Raw genomic sequence first — 19,259 nt, forward strand, 5'->3', positions numbered from 1 at the left:
AAGTCTACTTTTTATTCTTTGGCAACACATGATTATCTCCATAATTAGCACTAATGAATTACCCACATACGATTTTCTTTAATAGGAACCACATTGCCTTTCTCCCAAAAGCTTACTCTAGCGTTCAGTACTTGTCCCTTCAACTTTTGAAATCCACTGATAAATGCATTGAATGAGAGTTTCAGAGTTTCTTCTCTGAGATTTCGCTTTTAGAAATCCATTAGCCAACTTCTCTGGCTTTTTTTTTTTCCTAGTATGTTTTAACTTCACAGAATATTCCTACTTCAGGAATTGATTATTATAAAAATATGTTCTCTTCACTATCGTGTATCTGGAGGAGGTTTGGGGTGGTGAGATTAAAGTTTAAATAATAATAGTTTTTTTTTTCTTACAGGATTTAATTGTGATGGGGGCCCCAGGATCATCTTACTGGACTGGCTCTCTTTTTGTCTACAATATAACTACAAATAAATACAAGGCTTTTTTAGACAAACAAAATCAAGTAAAATTTGGAAGTTATTTAGGTACTATAAAAATTGACAAACTTAAATGATCTGTGCCTTACAAATACTAGTACTGTAATTATAAATAAGGAAAATGTATTTTCCAAAGATCTAAATGGCCAGTATAATTACAGTAATAATTAGGCAGTTCAGAAACTGTCTCTTAAGGATAGGATTTATGAAACTTCAGTGAACTCAGTATTTTACATTTACACATGTGACTAAAATCATCAATATATAATTCTTAATAGAACTCCTAGTTTAGTTTACTCTTTGTAGTTCACTTTAGGAAACACTAGTAAGTTTCTATCTCTATGTAGTCAACTGATTATACAGGTTGTTTCTGTTGAGTGCCTCCCATATCTCAGGAACTTTTTGTGAGAACTTTACATGAATTAACTCATTTAAACATCTGCATAAGTAAGTATAGTTTCCTTAAGCACCAACTGAAAGCCAGTGGTACTGTCCACCACATTCTGGATGAGGGGCTCCATGAAGCACATGGGTCTAAAAACAGCTCATTGACCTTCACCTCATAAGTTCTTAGAATATTTCCCAGAGCTTAACTATTTTTATCATCTTCCTCCTCCTCACTGTCATCTCATAAGTCAATAGTAGGATACTTTATCATCTGTATTTCAACAGAAATGCAAACTTTTCTGGCATTAATGTCCATTACAAGAAAATAAATGCTTTTCCTATAGATTTTCAGAAAATCCAGCTTTGTTTAAACTGTATGTGTGTCAAATGTGAGCATCTTACACTCAGAAATAATTATAAAATAAGCACTCTTTCTTTCTATTCAAACAGAAGAAATTTCAAGTAGAAGAATTTGTTACAATTCAATGTTTTCTTGTTTATGATGAAAGGATACTTTGAAATCGTTCAAGAAATATAACTTGTTACGCCTTTTATCACATAAAATACGAACAATTTTTTGTCATCGAAAAGTCATCACAAAGATTTGGTGGCAAAAAAAGTTGAACTTCAGCAAGATGTTTATTTAAAGTTTAAAGTTTTCATTTCCCAATTGAGATTTTATATTTAATATACTCTAAAATATGTCTGTTGTAATCCTAGAAACTGATTATACTGCACCAGATGTAAAGATGCTATTTTCAATTTCTAGGACTCGGAAATACATACCATATGACTGCAGTTTTGTAAAACATATCAAAATTGCATAAAACATAATGAATGACCAATTTTGAGTATCTCTATGCTAAATATTCTTAACTGCTTAATGTAGTGATTTTGAATTCGGTATCATTTAATTTTATGATCTATTTTACCCATATTACCATATGATGTACTTTACCCAGGACTCTCATACTTTCTCCCTTTTCTTAAAGGATATTCAGTCGGAGCTGGTCATTTTCGGAGCCAGCATACTACCGAAGTAGTCGGAGGAGCTCCTCAACATGAGCAGATTGGTAAGGTAAGAATTACATTTTTATATTTATTTCTTCACAAAGGTTCAAATATATTGCATGAATAAGATATTAAAGGAGAAACTGTGAATGTTGTAAGGAAAGAAAGATTAGAAATGATGAACAGATTATTACATTTAGTGGAATTGGTGAAAGATGTTATGGTTTTAGAAGAAATTTAGCAAAAAACTTTCTGAAAAATTACAAAAGTCAAACGAGACATTGTTTTAAGAAAATTATAAGATAGAACTATCTAAAAATGTCCAGGGAGTATATGGTGAACAGTTTCACAGCTGAAAAGAAGTTGAGGTAGCTACATATTTTGTAGTAAGACTAGAAAGAAGGAAATATTATTCCTGGTTTTAGTTTTTGCTGTGTCGCTATGTGAACATTGGTCACCCAGCTTTTCTGAGCCTTACTTTTGAAAACTGAGGCAAACAACACTTCCGGTGCCCCCTCTATAGGATCAATAAGATAATTCCTGAGAAAATACTTTTGCAAGTAAGGCATATTAATGTAACAGTGGATCCCAAACCCTTTTGTGTCACTCTCAACAGGATTTATTTTTATATTTGAGCAATTAACTGCAAGTTGTAAAAATTCATGTTTTGATCAAACAGAAAGGAGTGGTGTTTTAAAAAATGTTATTCCTAAAAACTTTTCTAATTCTTTCCCTAATTACAGGCATATATATTCAGCATTGATGAAAAAGAACTAAATATCTTACATGAAATGAAAGGTAAAAAGGTAATATGTCTCTACCTTTAGTATCTCTGTGGGCTTTTGCGAGTAACCCTGCTTTTTTCTCAATGAGTGGATCTGGTTTGTTTTGGGACAGCTTGGATCGTACTTTGGAGCTTCTGTCTGTGCTGTGGACCTCAATGCAGATGGCTTCTCAGATCTGCTCGTGGGAGCACCCATGCAGAGCACCATCAGAGAGGAAGGAAGAGTGTTTGTGTACATCAACTCTGGCTCGGTATGTCCAAGTGCCCCAACTGGAAGCCATTTATGGAATTATGATCAAAACTCAAATTGGTCTTATTCCAGAGATCTGAGATTGTTTTCAGGTTTCTTTTATTGACAAAAGTTAAAATTCTAATACTGTACTGATGCTCTAAAAATTAAATGGAATATGATGATGAATGGGAAAGTTTCCCATTTTGATATTCCAGAACAATCTATGAAATAGATTGTTAGGGAGTTTCTCTGTTCACAGCTTGTATGTGTTCACTCTGGTAGCTGAAATTTCTTTCAGTTTTATGTTGATACTAATCTAATTTGAAAGAATAATTTTCATACCTCCTTCAAAATGTAGATTTCTTAATAGTTCTAGTTAAGGTCCTTATATAAATTATAAAATATTACTAGGACTAGAAGATGAAGAATTAAGTATTTTCAATTTCTTAATTTGAAAACAATTAGAAACAAGATGTGTTTTGTTAAAACATTAATTTTCATAATTCATATATATTATGCTCTTGATAAGAATATAAAATTGGCAAGGTTTATTCCACAGTGGATATATTAGTTGCATAAATAGGTAATTACTGACTGTGATTCAATTTTAAATTATTAGTGATAATTTGTGGTAGAAACTGACCACTTGATAATTCAAAGACTTCTGGCCTTATCTTGCCAGCCTAGATTCTTGGCGTTAAGTCAAAACAAAAAATTGGTGGAGTCTTAATGAAATCTTCTTGGCCCGTTCTTTGATTTGAAAACAAGAGTGGGCTTGTGAGAAGACCAGTTCATTTATAATGGCATAGCATTTTTCAGTCAGGATTCAACAAAGTGGACTCTGTTTCAAGAAAGTATTTGTAACTATGTTCAGTCAATGGTTTCAGAGCATTTAGCAAGTTCTTATATTAAGCATCAGACTAAACTCTACAATTTAAGAAAGAAAACATCTAGTCTCATAAATGGAAGATTCTCTAAGTTTGCAATATAGAGCAGGGAAGTTATTTATGCTTTGGTATTTCCTACACTGTATTTAACCTACATTTAATAGTAAAAGCAAATTATCTACACAGTGATCATTAAATCTCATAGTAGTAATATCAGATAATTTTCTTCCATTTCTATCTCCAAAAATAGTGGTCTTTGTACTTGCTACATCCTCGTGCTGCAAATTTCTCTTATTTTCCTCTTTACGACTAAACATCCACATGTATACCTAAAGTAAAGCAATATAGAATCATTTTCCCCCATTGAAATCTTAATCTCATTAAGAAAAAACAGATAAACCCTTCTACCCACTTGGCTACCCTCCTTTTCTTCCCTCATGCCTACCCTGAGGCACTACTCTTATGAAACACTTGGATTAAATTAATAATTGATTCCAGCTTTTAAATCCTCTGATGTAGATTAGTCTTCCTTTGTTCCATCTAACCTCTCATTTCTCAACTCTGAAATGGCACTAACCACTAAGTGGCATTTATTTACATTGATTTGATTTGGTATTGTGTGTTCTTCTACTGTAGTATAGATGCCTTGTGGAGAGAGATTGTCTGTCTTGTTTACCGTGGTTTCATCAGGGCTTGGAAGAGTCCTAGACAAGTAGGTGAAATTGTTTTTGAATGAACTCAAGAAAGAATGATACTTGAGTGACTGGCTTCTGCCTACTTGTACTAAAATAGCTCTCAGGGGTTCCTAGCGAACTCTCAGTCACCACTCTCTGTGACTAGGGAATACTTGAAGAAGAGTGATCACCTCTTCCTATTGAAACTCTCCTTCCAGAACTTCAGAGCCATTGCATTGTCTTAAGTCTATACCTTGTCTGTTCTCCCTGGAGCCTTTTCACCCTTCCACTCCTTAATTTGGACATTTGCCCAGGAGCCAAGCTGTTTTATCCCTGACTCCTTTGAATCAATCATTCACTGCTTCAGTGTCAGTGATTATATTTATAAAGATGATTCCCAGTCATCTTAGTTCATTTAAAATAAAATAAATGACATTTAGTGAGTATCTGAAATGTAACCAGGACTATAAAAAGAGCTAATAATCTTAGAGCTGACCCCAGGACTTCAGGATCTTTGTGAAGACACCAATGGGAGTAAACAATTGACTACAACATGGTACATGGCACATTATAAGTACATACAAAGTGGAAGAAGTGATTCCCTTTGGGTCAAGAAGCTTTTACAGAGGAAGTAGTGTTTGAGAAAGACAAAAATCAGAATTTTTCTATTGGAAAATTCACAAGTGAAGACACTTGACAAAGAGCATGTGTATGCTTAAGAGGTGCCAAGTAAATTTGAGAAGAATAAAGGACATGGCCTTTTTTTCTTTTTAATACAAAAGACTGACATGATCAAAGTTTCAGAAGAGAACTGGTAGCTGTTATTGCAACAGCCCATTATTACATTATTGAATGTCTTATTGTAGTAACTCATCTTCCTCCTTCCTAGTTATCAGTTGACTAATCTATGCTCCACTGCTGCTGGTTCCAAAGGCCAGCTTCAATCATGTCACTCCTCAACTCAGAAACCTTCAGTGTTTAGTATTATTCCCTAAATTAAGAGTAAATTTTCCTCGACAATCAAGACGCTACACTATAAGACTGCAATCTGACATTTTTGTCTCATTCATTATACATACCATTCATTAGAGCCAAATTCTTTGGAATTTGTTTTGCTGCTAGTTTTCTCTGTATATCAAAATTATGCTTATCCTTCAATAGCCTCCTGGCATGCCATTTCCTTTATGAAATGTCTTCTGTTATAATTAGATTTTTTTTTTTTGCGTCTCGATATTGTAAAGCAGTTTCTACTTCTCAGTCATTTATATGCTTGTGCTAAGCCTTCCCTATAACTGTGGGCTTATTGAAGAAAGGGAATGTGTTTTGTGCACACACTGCCTTGCCCCTTTTCACCTTTTCGCTCTTTGCACAGTGTGTTGTCTTTAGTAGAGGCTCAATAAATATTTGCTAAATTGAATTATCAAAATGATTTATTGGATTTTCAAAGCTAGAGATCATGAGTTTGACAATTTTTTATGTCCTCTGAGGTCTAATCATACTATTATGTGTTGACAGACTCAATAAATATTTATTGAATTGAACTGAGATGTGTGTACTAAAGCTCAGTCTGTAGTTTGTCCAACTTGTTTGACACATTAGAAAAAATCCATATCCAATTACAACAGTAAATCGTGTAAAGTTGTCAGGGAGTGTTATAATGACACGTTTTCTCTCCCTTTCTATCTAGGGAGCAGTAATGAATGCAATGGAAACAAACCTCGTTGGAAGTGACAAATATGCTGCAAGATTTGGGGAATCTATAGTTAATCTTGGCGACATTGACAATGATGGCTTTGAAGGTAATTAAAATTATCAAATTGGTACTTGATTTCTGCTTTTAAAATGGTTTATGGAAGAAAATATGATTAAAGTTTTGTATTGTTTTCCTTCCTATAGAAGATGGAGCCAGAATGGCATGCTAAGTTTTTTCTTTTCTTTAGTGTTATATATGACTTCTCCTCAATTGTCACCCATTGATCTTTACCACTGTTAATAATGGATGATATTCAAAATACCTTATTTCAGTGATTCTAAGGCACCATTGATTAGAAACTGCATTATTATTTATGTGTCCCTAAAAGCTACCTATTAAGCTGTTACACCCACCATTTTTCTGTTAAGGAAGATCCTGATTTCAGAAATAATAAAATATGGGCAGGAAATGTGTTATCATAGACTCATTGGACCACGGTATTTAACTATCAGTACAATAAAGACACTGACCAAACCCAACAGAGGCTGGCTGCAGAGCTGGAGCAGGGTTCTGGAAGCCCCTGCTCTGCCAGGCATTCCCTATAGCTATGTTGTGGAGGATCTGGGGAATTCAAGAAGAGATTCTGAGCAGGCCACTGGGAGGCCTGGGGACAGTGGCTGTTTACCCACTGATATTGACGTTTTTTATTAATTGAATAGATGGTAGTGTGGTAACTGTGCATATTGCCATGGATGTCAGTCCTGTTGTTGAAATCCCTGCATCTACTAGCATTTACTGTTAAAAATTTGCTTTTATCAATCTAGTTCTAAGTGGTAAGTAACTGAGTCTGTTAAAACTGTGCATAAAATGGTGAATAGGTTTAAGAGGAGAGTGTGCAGTTTCATGGAGTTCAGCACATAAGTATTTGATACTTATTTTTAGGGTTCATAATTGTCTTCTTGATAAGGCCATTGGCAATTAGTATACGGTAGTTTTAGGCTAAAGCTTTCTCAGAGATTAAAGTGCTGGGGTACTATAAATTCTCATCTCCTTAATGTCTTCTTGTACCTAGATACCACAATCTACTTTAAATATATAAAATGCATTATTCTACATAAAAAGTCAGTTATTGAATACATGCTTCCAGTGAACCTTCTTAAACGTAAAATAGTGTAACTTGTTATACAAGTATTACTGTTCTGGATTTTTTGTTTACTATTTTAAAACTGAAAGAAAAAAATAGGTGTATATACTTTTGGTTATTACGATTACACATAATTTTTTTAAAAAACATGTATGAATGGGAGCCTCTCTGTACCCCACCCATCACTAGCTTCCCCCTACTTCCCTTACCCTCCCAGGACCCCAGGTTGGGCATTGGCTCATTTTCATAAATAACCTCATCCCAGACAGGGGTGAGGGAAGGTGTTGTGGCTGTTTTGTTTAAATTGGAGCTGTAAGAGGGATCATGTCATATTTTATGCCCTTCCTAGAAAGGGGACGGGACACCTGGTTTGCATTCCTGTATTGACCACTGCTGCCGTCACTCGTCACATTGAGTTCACATCTCCTGAGAGTTTGTATAAATTCAGGTCAGCGCTGCTCCTATGCAGCCATCCAGTGTCATAGAAAAGCAATTCACTGATAACTGATCTCTCCATTCAGAAGTGTGCAGTTTTAATGTATAGCAATAAGAAATTGTTATTTATCTATTACAAGCCTGGTTTGATTAAAAACAAAAAATAAAATGTTATTATGCTTGATGTTACATCTCATAAGTAACCAGCAATTCTGTGATATTTATTGAACATTTATTTTGGGTCAGATGTACCATACCAGGTACAGAATATGTGCCATAATAAATGAAAATGAAGAAAATAGTGGCACCCTTTTTTATAGCTCTACCATCAAGTAGAAAATAAAATTAATACTTGAAAACATAAGCCTTATTTCGTGGCAAGTTTAAGGGTTCTACCTAATAAAGACCTATGGATAAAACCATGTTTATGCATTTTGATTTGTCATGTGTGTTGTATGAGACAACCCAATTCTTTCTTTTAAAAACACAAAATCACTGTTTAGTAAAACACTTATTTTGTCTATGATTTCTCTGTCTTGTTTTAATTGACACATTTAAAGAAGACCATTCACTATTTTTACTCTTTTGAATGTGAAAAGTATATGTATGTACACATGAGAAATTATTTTTGTGGCATCAAAATGTCAATGACAAATTTGAATTATTGTTAGAGCTGTAAAACTGTTGTGAGCATAGGCAAATTCCCTTATCAAAATTACTCTATACCTGGGAAAAGCCCAAGTAATTTTCCAGTGGTGTGAAGGACAGAGAGTGTTCGGTCGATGAGACTTAGGAAGAGGACTTCGGAGGTGACTTTCAGGGGACAGTGCAGTCTCTCAATTTGTATATGAGACCCTGGGCTTCACACAGCTCTTGTTTCACTGAAATCCCTCAGCACTCCACTCCTAAAGGTAATACCTTTATGTCTGGAAGGTTATTATGCAAATGATTTTTTAAAATATTCCTGCATATTTTTGTGCTATTTATAATGTCATTTATAATTCACCGCATATTTACATTTAGTGGCTACATTAACACTTCAGTGAGTGTTTATAATGCCATATATCTTTTTCTACTTGGTCCAGTTCTTTTTTTATTTTATTTTTTTTTTGAGATGGAGTCTCGCTGTGTCACCCAGGCCAGAGTGCAGTGGCATGATCTGGGCTCACTGCAAGCTCTGACTCCCGGGTTCATGCCATTCTCCTGCCTCAGCCTCCCGAGTAGCTGGGACTACAGGCACCCGCCACCACCCCAGCTAATTTTTTTGTGTTTTTAGTAGAGACAGGGTTTCACTGTGTTAACCAGGATGGTCTCTATCTCCTGACCTTGTGATCTGCCCGCCTTGGCCTCCAAAAATGCTGGGATTACAGGCATGAGCCACTGCACCCAGCCCTCCAGTTCTAATTTTATCTTCTATTTTGCCCATGAGTAGGCGTTTTCTATATTTTAGATATTAGCAAGACCATTGCTGATGTGGAAACAGGGCCAGTGTGTCCTAGTTCTTGGCTGAGGTCTTTTATTCCATTCCACCATGTCTGCCTGCATGAGGCAGCAGGAATTTACAAGTTATTTTTCTTTATGTGTTTCTTTATTACTTTGCCCCATCTTCTCTTATTTTATTTTTCTGGGGTGGATGGGTAAAGATACTTTGTGTTCATGGCAAGAAGTGTAGGATTATGAAGAAAGAGACTCCAACATTGGATGCAAATCACACTTAATGTCTTTTTATTATGCAAATTTTTGTGGTACTTTGCATAGCAAACCTAAGTTATCTTGGCATTTGTCATATCACTTTTCAATTGTTCTCAAATGGAAAAAAAATCAGACTCTATTTCCTGTGTCCTTAGAAAAGCAACACAAGCCATTTTCTAAAAAGATGACCAATTGATTTGGCAAAAATTTAGTGTAAAACTCATCAAAAGCATGAAAAAATCGGTCAGACAGACTAATGTACCTGACATGACCAACAGCAGATCACATTTTTTATTTCATATGTAAAATAGACTTGACCACTATTTATCGGTTTAGTTTCTTTTTTCACCTTGAGCCTTATTATCTGACTTTTAGACTATATGTCTGAATATTTTTAGAGCAGAACCATAACAAGTTCTACAATTGTAAATTACAAGCTGTACTATTATTTTGTGTGCACCTGAAATATTAATATATCGTCAAATCATTAAGTGAGCACTTCTGTTTTATTTGTTTATAGGGTACAAGTGAAATTTTGTTACATGCATCGATTACATAGCGATCAAGTCAGAGCTTGTGGGTATCCATCATCCAAATAACATACATTTTTACCCATTAAGTAATTTCTCATCATCCACCCCACACAACCTCTTTCCCTTCTGAGTCTTCATTGTCTATCAAAATGTAGCAGGACGAGCCACAGACAAAACTCTTCGGACGCCGAGTTAAAGAAGGAAGGGGTTTATTTGGTGGGGGGCATCGGCAAGACTCCTGTCTCAAGAGCCGAGCTCCCCAAGTGAGCAATTCTGTCCCTTTTAAGGGCTCACAACTCTAAGGGGGTGCACGTGAGAGGGTCGTGATTGATTGAGCAAGCAGGGGGTACGTGACTGGGGGCTGCATGCACCGGTAATTAGATCGGAACAAAACAGGATAGGGATTTTCACAGTGCTTTTCTATACAATGTCTGTAATCTATAGATAACATAACCAATTAGGTCGGGGTCGATCTATAACTACCAGGCCCAGGATGTGGGGCCAGGCTGTCTGCTTGTGGATTTCATTTCTGCCTTTTAGTTTTTACTTTTTCTTTCTTTGGAGGCAGAAATTGGGCATAAGTCAATATGAGGGGTGGTCTCCTCCTTTAATTCTACTTTATACATCCATGTGAACACATTTTTAAAGCACTGATTTATGAGTAAGAGCATGTGTTATTTTACTTTCTGTGCCTGGCTTGTTTCATTTAAGATAATGACATCCCCCACCAGTTCCATCCCTGTTGCTGCAGAATACATGATTTCATTTTTTTTTTTTATGGCTGAATAGTATTCGTGTGTGTGTGTGTGTGTGTGTGTGTGTGTGTGTGTGTGTGTCTGTGTGTGTGAGAGAGAACCTCTTTGACACAGAACAGGAATTGGTATTAGGAAGGGAAATTTGGGGGTATGACCTCTGTTGTTAATGAGTCTATAGAGCATGGGAATAGCACAGGATCTGGACCAGGCTGCAGGGTTTAAATCCCAGGTCCACAACATCCTGGCTCTGTCACCTTGAGCAGGTTATACCTTGTGCCTCAGTTTCCTCATCTGTAAAGTTGGAGTCAGAGTATTTATTTAATATGGTGGTTGTGAGAGTTACTTGGGTAAATCTGCACAAAGTCCATATCACAGTGCCTACATTGTAAACATAGTATAAGTGTTGGCTGACATACTAATAATTTTGATTTATACTAAAAGAATGAAATAAAATGTTCAGATAAGAAGTAAAAGCAATCATTAAATACCTATGTTCTGTATATTGTGTCCCAAATTAAGTTGCATAGGCTTGGAAAACATTTATTGTATATATTTCAAAACATATCTTTCTCATTTGAATAATGATAGCTAGAACTTTATTATATAACAGATCCAAGCGTAATCCAGGAAGAGTCTGAATCTATATATGTGATAGCCAGAGATTGAATATACCCAAGTGTCCTCTGTATGGAAAAAAATTTATCTGGGCCTTTTTAATATTTTGGCTGAAAAGGCTCATCTGTATTTTTCCTAAATATTTGCCTTAATCTAGATCACTCTTGCTAATAACAGGTACTGTAAGAATTACATCGCCGGGCGCGGTGGCTCACGCCTGTAATCCCAGCACTTTGGGAGGCCGAGACGGGCGGATCACGAGGTCAGGAGATCGAGACCATCCTGGCTAACACGGTGAAACCCCGTCTCTACTAAAAATACAAAAATTAGCCGGGCATGGTGGCGCGCGCCTGTAGTCCCAGCTACAAGGGAGGCTGAGGCAGGAGAATGGCGTGAACCCGGGAGGCGGAGCTTGCAGTGAGTCGAGATCGCGCCACTGCACTCCAGCCTGGGCGACAGAGCTAAACTCCGTCTCAAAAAAAAAAAAAAAAAAAAAAAAAAGAATTACATCAACCACTTCACTACCAAGGCTTGTTATTTTTTTCATGTGTTATGAAGAATCAATATATAGGAAATTCTAGAGATGTAACCACAGTGGTGGAAGTATAAACCCAGCCCTGATTAAAATAAATTGCTGTCTTCCCTTCAATGGCTATAAAATACTTTTCCCCACTCCTTCTTCTCACATCCCTCTTCTCCTCCTCCTCCTCTTTCTCTTCCTTACCATTCCTGCTCCTCTGTTCCTGTATGTATATATTCTGCACAAATCTGACTCCAGTTATTCCAAACCAATTGCCATTCTTCACATGTGCCATGCTGCCTATTGCTTCCCTGCCCTTGCACAGGCATTTCCCTGCCTCTAAATTGCATTTCCCCTTTTCTTCACCTGTCTATGACCTATGGATACTTTAATCTCATCTTGGGCATCATTTTCTATGAGAAGCCTTTTCTAATTTCCACCACTTCCTCCTCATATGCTGTGTTATTAGTCTATTCTTACTTGCCATTCCTCCCCACTAGACAATGAGTTTCCTATTGTGATACTGCCCTGTTTTGCCAGCTCCTGGCAATTGCCTGGAATATAGTAGGTGCTCACTAGCTGTCCGATGAATGAATAAATGAGTGGGCATATTTGTATATGAAAGTTTGAAAAACTTTGTACAAGTCAAAAGAGGCTAGCCTTTGTATGTCTAAACAAAGTAAATATAGGTGTCTACCATTTCTTTTTAACTGAAAATAGAAAAGCTTTTGCATTTTTAAAATTTTACATTGTTTAGCATGGAGTTATATATCAAAGATATTTTTATCCTCATTGAAATAGTAGCCCAAAATTACCACTATAGTTGATAAAATGATTTTCAATTTGATGGTAATAAGTAATATCATGAAGACAAACTACTTTAGGTTTCTATTAAATAAACCATTGCATATAAGTAAATATATGCATAAATAGACAATACTTGGTAAAATAATGAAATGCTCTTGCAACTGTAGAATATTATTTTTCTCCTTTGTGCTATATATTTATAGCATTTAAGCAACCATGTCATTTACTCAGGTTTTCTTATATTAGTTGATCAGATCTTTTTTCCCTTGGTATCATAGTCTGACATAATTATCAATAATACAGAAAGGTGATAAAATCATTATTTTACAGAACAAATCCTTTTTCTGAAATCCTGTGTGTCTGTGTGTGCAGATATCTCTAACAGATACCTTAATCATTTTCATTGGAATAGGAATTAAAAGTCATTTTGCAAATAAGGTAAGTCTAGACTCCCAAAATAAAAATTCTTATGATCAAATATTCATAGATTATGAGGTTATTACATGCGAGGCACTGCTCTAAGCACTTTACATAGGTCATATCCTTTTATGCTGAGAGTGGTTTTTATTATGATCCCATTATATAGGTGAGGGAATTGAAACACAGATTAAGAAATGGGCCCAACCTAGTGTGGCAGTGCCCAGTGGCAGAGCTCGGATCAGACCCCAGTGGTCTGGCTGTAGAGCCCGCGCTCTAATCATTTTGTTACACTGCCTCTCAGATGCTTCCACTCTGCTTTCTTCCATGTGCAAACTATTGTGTGCAATCCTGTATATGATGATGATAGTATTTTATTTTTTTCTGTCTGAGAAGACTGTTATTTTTCATAAAAGAGAGTTTTCTTATGTGATATGAATTAAGGTTCATAAGGTTAGTTTTCGAAGTTGCATTCTTTGTATCAAGAATTTATTTTTCCATTGTTTAAATTATTGGATAGATGTTGCTATCGGAGCTCCACAAGAAGATGACTTGCAAGGTGCTATTTATATTTACAATGGCCGTGCAGATGGGATCTCGTCAACCTTCTCACAGGTAAGGTACTATTCTATTTCCAAAAGAAGCATTGGTTATAATGCATATCCTTAAAACTTCCAGGGTTTATGTGGACTTATTTTTCTTAATTTTCTCATTCAAATACTTAACACTTTATTTCACCGTTTACTTATAGTGGCAAATGATCTTATTTTAAGGGATTAATAACTCTTCAAACTCCCTTTCTCCATAAATAAGAGTTGTAGTTCATTTCCACCCTAGCTTGTCTATAGCCCATTAAAGATTTCTCTTTGTATTTCATTAAATTGCATTCTGAGGTAATATCCATATGATTCTAAAATATGCCCATTTGGATTTGATTAACTGTGTCTTGGCCTTGTGGCTAGAGCCCCATATTTTGTGAAGATTGCACAGGGAGATCAAACACACATATGATTCTCTGGGTTTTTTTCACTGTTGAGTAGTAAGATGATAGCACTTTAATAATGTCTCAGGATCTTACTCTGACTTCACTTTTGTATGTTGAAAAATCATGGCATTTCAGTGCCTAGAAAAAAAATGACATTCATATGCAGAGAAGAAAAGTTTTTCCCTTGATATTTGCATGGAAATATTAGCTGGCACAGTTATTTTTGATTAGAAAAATGAGCAAATGGTTCTCTGTAATTGACATAAAAGAAATGTATTTGTCTAGTAAAAAAACTAATTTTCTTAGCACGAATATCAGCTTAATATTTATAAACCTGTATGTGAACATGAAATTAGATATGTGGAATAGAAAGTACATATCTGGCTAGGGTTGTTCTTGTTAAAAAGTCAGCTTTTATCAAAAGCCTCAGTCATAGGCTCCACTAAGTGATTATAGACATCTTGTTTTACAAATTCTTATTTAGTTATTCATGTTGGGCAAGGAAGTAAATAGAGAGCCTGAAGAGACCTAAGGAGGCCAGACATGGTGGTACACACCTGTAATCTCAGCTACTCAGGAGGCTGAGCTGGGAAGACTGCTTGAACCCAGGAGTTCAAGGCCAGCCCAGGTGCCATAGTGAGACCCCCACCTCTAAAAGACTTGAGAGGGAGTAAAGACTATTTCAGAAAATCTGTACAGCATAATTTTCCCTTTGCTCGCAAAGTAAATTTTTTTAGTCACAAATGTCACCTGTTCATTTCAAGCTGGAAAAATTTTGTCACCCTTAGAAGTATTTGATTTAACTAAAATGCAGCTTTGTTAGTAGATGTGCCAAGGCATGCCTGGGAAAGCTCATTATTTAGCTAAATCATTGCTTCTCTGGTATATTAGTATTCAAAAACTACTTCCCACTCAACTTTCCTATTTTTCAGAGAATTGAAGGACTTCAGATCAGCAAATCGTTAAGTATGTTTGGACAGTCTATATCAGGACAAATTGATGCAGATAATAATGGCTATGTAGGTGAGTAATTAGTTTATCATAATTTATAAATTGGAATAAGCTCTATCATAGATACTGCTTTATAGTGAAGTACGTAAAACTGGTATGAAAGACTTCATCTTACTGATAATTTTTTTTCTTCATTTTTAAAGTTCTCCTTAATTCATTCCTAAAATGATCAAGTAATTCCTCAGCTTAACAGTGCTAGTTACACAATGTTATAGTCTGTGTTTTTGAAAACATGAAAGCACTCATGAAAATCAAATATATGAGGAAAAGAAAGAAAATTTTTATTTAGAAAAATTTGAGTGAATGTTTCTAGTCCAAAAATTGAATTTTGTTTTAGTAAACTTGTTTTTGTCATAAAGTTTATGATATATCATAATGGGATGAATGTTGTACATGAATAGATTCAGAGAAAAGTGGAAAGAATCGTAAGATGTTAGCATATATTCTCTAATTTTCTATAAATAGTGTTTTAGGTAGTCAAAGGTGATACGTAGTTAAGTATTTATGGCTGAAAAATAATTCTCTTTGACTAATGATGATCATTAATCTGTGTTGTTTTTTATCCTCCAGATGTAGCAGTTGGTGCTTTTCGGTCTGATTCTGCTGTCTTGCTAAGGTAAGACTGATATATTTCACTGCTTAATTGCAATTTGGTTTAATTGTAAAATGATGGGAGGTGGTGTTTAAAATCAGCAGTGGTAGTGACCTCATGATGCTCTTTTGGTATTCTGAAGCTTAATTATTGATTTTTAGGGTATTTTTTTCACCTTACAGAGATATAATTAAATCATCAAAGTCAATATTTTTAGACATTTAAATAAAAAGTTATTTTGCCCTGTGCACAGAAATGTAATTAGTATGTACACACATAATAAGACTCATGAAATTACTTGGTGAATGTAAACTGAAAAAACAAACGCATTTCTCTCCTTAAGGAAAAATAATTCTGCAATTAACATTGCTACTTTTATTTCCTTCTCAGGACAAGACCTGTAGTAATTGTTGACGCTTCTTTAAGCCACCCTGAGTCAGTAAATAGAACGAAATTTGACTGTGTTGAAAATGGATGGCCTTCTGTGTGCATAGATCTAACACTTTGTTTCTCATATAAGGGCAAGGAAGTTCCAGGTTACATTGGTGGGTATGCCCTACAATATTAATGCTTGATGGGGTGCGGTTCATTCATTAATCCCACAATCCTGCTTGGAGCCCTCACCGGTTTTCACCACGGAGATCTTCTTTAGAGCGGGGGAGAGAAGCTACCTGATGCATGCTTTTCCTCTCCATCTTCCAGATTCTTGCGTTGTTCTAACCAATGAGTTGGGCACATTAGAAGGCTGTAGTTGTTTAGAGATTATGAGAAGCAAAGGACATAGTATCACTTGCTATATTAGTTTAAGGTAAACCAACTGAGCTTAACCTGTGAAATCTCTTTCTTCTTGACATTGGATAAAATTGACATTTTATCAAGTGTCAATAATTGAGGAAAGCCAGGCATGGTAGCTCATGTCTATAATCCCAGCACTTGAGGAGGCTGAGGCTTCAGCCCAGGAGGTCCAGGCTACAGCAAGCTGTCATCACACCACTGCATTCCAGCCCGGGCAATGGAATGAGACCCTGTCTCAAAAAAATAATAACCATAAAAATAAATATTAAAAAAATTGAAGAAGCTAGACTTGATTCTGATTTCTATAAATAATATGCTTGTTAATAATTTACTGCGACTACAAGCTCCTAAGAACCGTCACCTATGTCCCTCTGTATAGGCAACTCTCAATTATCTGCTCTGGAGAAAGTATCATTGATATAGCTCATCCAAAATATTGTGGTGGGGAATCCCAAATCATGTATATATGACTTTATAAGTATTTTTGCTAGCAGATTAATGTTCCTAATTATGTTTTATTTAGGCTAATATAAGAATAACTACTAGTGAAATGAGCCTGTGGTAGGAGAAGAGCATATCTGGGCATATCATTTAGAGATTAATAATTCACAACGTTTATGATCCCCTATTAGGACCTGTCAAGAGTTTATTGTATTCATGACCCTGCAGGCTGCTGTTATCTAAACATCGTGAAGGGCCCACATACTTATTAAATAATGCCATGGATATGTAATAGAGGTCTTAGTATGCATTAGGTACACAATGAGCCTGTACCTGAAAGGTACACAATGAGCCTGGCATCTCTACTTTAGATCAGACTCATTTTTAATAGTGTCCTGGAAAAGTCATGGCCAGAGCTACAGTAATAAGAGGGTGGACAAGCCTTCATCTAGTTATTGATTGGAAAATGGCAATTTGAGAGCCTGACCACAGAGTAAATTACACAGTAACACAGACAAGCTGAAGGATAATCTGAAAGACACACATTGAGTAGATGACGCTCTTTCCTTTTACATAAAACTAGTGTTTCCTCTACTAACAATTCCATTGTGACCAGATATTTTTAAAAATAGTTGAAGACAAACATACGAAACACATAAATAATCATCACATTATTGGAGAAGCATACCTTATAATTATCATAAAATGACTCCCAGGAGAAATAATTCACATGGCAAGCATGTTTAATAAAACCAGGACATTTTAACTCTTACTAATAGTGGATTTTTTTTCACCTTTTTCATTTACTTTTTTTCTGAACTCAGGGCAATGAACTTGTAGACAGCTATATCAATTGCAGTGCTATTTCTCTGAGGTATTGAATCTCAGTTATTATAATTTTGAAATCCAATTGGCTTGGACTTCATTATTTTCCAACTAAAAAGATGATTGAAGGATTTATTTGAAATGTGTAAAGAGTAATATAGATTTTATGCTTATGTTTCCTTGAAAAAAGTAGGTAAAATTCTTCTGGAAGTGTTACTCCTAAAATACAAATGAACATGTCAAGAATTACATAAATTCTTTAAACTATCACTTATGAATTATTGCCTCTATGTAGTGAGTGACACCTCAGCAGACTATTAGATTTAGCTTGCATGGCAAAGAACTCATTTAGATTCATGAAATGGTTCTCACTTTCTTGGTAAGATCTGGCTTGGACGTTTTTGTTAATTTTTTCTTTTTTCCTTTTTTTTTTCTTTCAAATTTGGAGATCTTCATGAGCAGATGAATATTTACTATTTCAGATTTGAAATAAACCCTGCCAAACTGCTAGAATATTTATTGAGAGAATTTTTTAAAAATTGCACAAATTAACACTGGAAGGTCAAACTAGAAACCAATAACACACAGAGGAAGGACAGATAATCAGGGCATAAGACTGGAAAGATGACATTTTTAAGAAAACCGTATATATAGATTTGACTTAATCATGTGTTCACTTCATGTATAAAAAAAAGCCTTCAAATCAGAAACAAATCTAAAATATAAAAAAGTCATATATAAAATTAGTCATATAACCACATAAGATAGAATTATTCCAAGTGACATTTGAGCAAAGTGCTGTGTCTATACTTCCTTAGTCAATGTTCTGAGAAAAAAAGGAATATGAAACATGCAAGACTTTTATTAGCAACAATTTTTATATTTTTGAAATTTTTATATAAAGATTAAGCAAATAACTAAAGATTTTAATGTTGTTAATAGAAACCTAGAGGAAAGTTCATAAATCTTTATAAAAGCAATTTTTAAAATTTGTATTTTTAATTGTTCCCTCTTTCATATTTCAGGTTAGTCTTTAAAAAGCTGTTTAATAAAGAGAATTCCAGATATTATTTCCAGTAGTCCATATAACTTTAACTATTATCACTTCAAAAATAACAATAGATGTATTTCAGTAATTAGATTAATTGCAATTCTCTATATTTTTGCAGTTTTGTTTTATAACATGAGTTTGGATGTGAACAGAAAGGCAGAGTCTCCACCAAGATTCTATTTCTCTTCTAATGGAACTTCTGACGTGATTACAGGAAGCATACAGGTGTCCAGCAGAGAAGCTAACTGTAGAACACATCAAGCATTTATGCGGGTAATGTAAGCTATTTTTTATTAATGAATATGTGAACTTCAACGTTGTTGATAGAGAGCAACTTATTGTATTGGTATCTTTTTATAAAATGTAGATAAAAGCAACTGTTACCCCTCCTGAACTATGACCTGTTGCTCCAGTTAAGGTATGAGACAATCTCAACCCAAGTAATTCAGAGTCCTCTTATTGTATCATCCTTTTTCACATTTATCACATTTGACCTC

General features: G+C 35.1%; 1 protein-coding gene across 1 annotated transcript in view; it reads left to right on the forward strand.

Moving 5' to 3' along the window:
- ITGA4 (integrin subunit alpha 4) overlaps nucleotides 1-19,259 on the forward strand; it is an 81,736-nt gene that overhangs the window by 22,538 nt on the left and 39,939 nt on the right. Inside the window, exons 6-15 of the mRNA NM_000885.6 lie at nucleotides 395-524; nucleotides 1,856-1,941; nucleotides 2,618-2,680; nucleotides 2,772-2,909; nucleotides 6,139-6,250; nucleotides 13,583-13,677; nucleotides 14,980-15,070; nucleotides 15,629-15,674; nucleotides 16,041-16,195; nucleotides 18,881-19,035. Coding sequence (NP_000876.3) covers nucleotides 395-524; nucleotides 1,856-1,941; nucleotides 2,618-2,680; nucleotides 2,772-2,909; nucleotides 6,139-6,250; nucleotides 13,583-13,677; nucleotides 14,980-15,070; nucleotides 15,629-15,674; nucleotides 16,041-16,195; nucleotides 18,881-19,035 — 1,071 coding nt within the window. The remainder of the gene's footprint in view (nucleotides 1-394; nucleotides 525-1,855; nucleotides 1,942-2,617; nucleotides 2,681-2,771; nucleotides 2,910-6,138; nucleotides 6,251-13,582; nucleotides 13,678-14,979; nucleotides 15,071-15,628; nucleotides 15,675-16,040; nucleotides 16,196-18,880; nucleotides 19,036-19,259) is intronic.

Source organism: Homo sapiens, chromosome 2 (genome assembly GCF_000001405.40).
Source record: "Homo sapiens chromosome 2, GRCh38.p14 Primary Assembly".
Taxonomy (NCBI): Eukaryota; Metazoa; Chordata; class Mammalia; order Primates; family Hominidae; genus Homo; species Homo sapiens.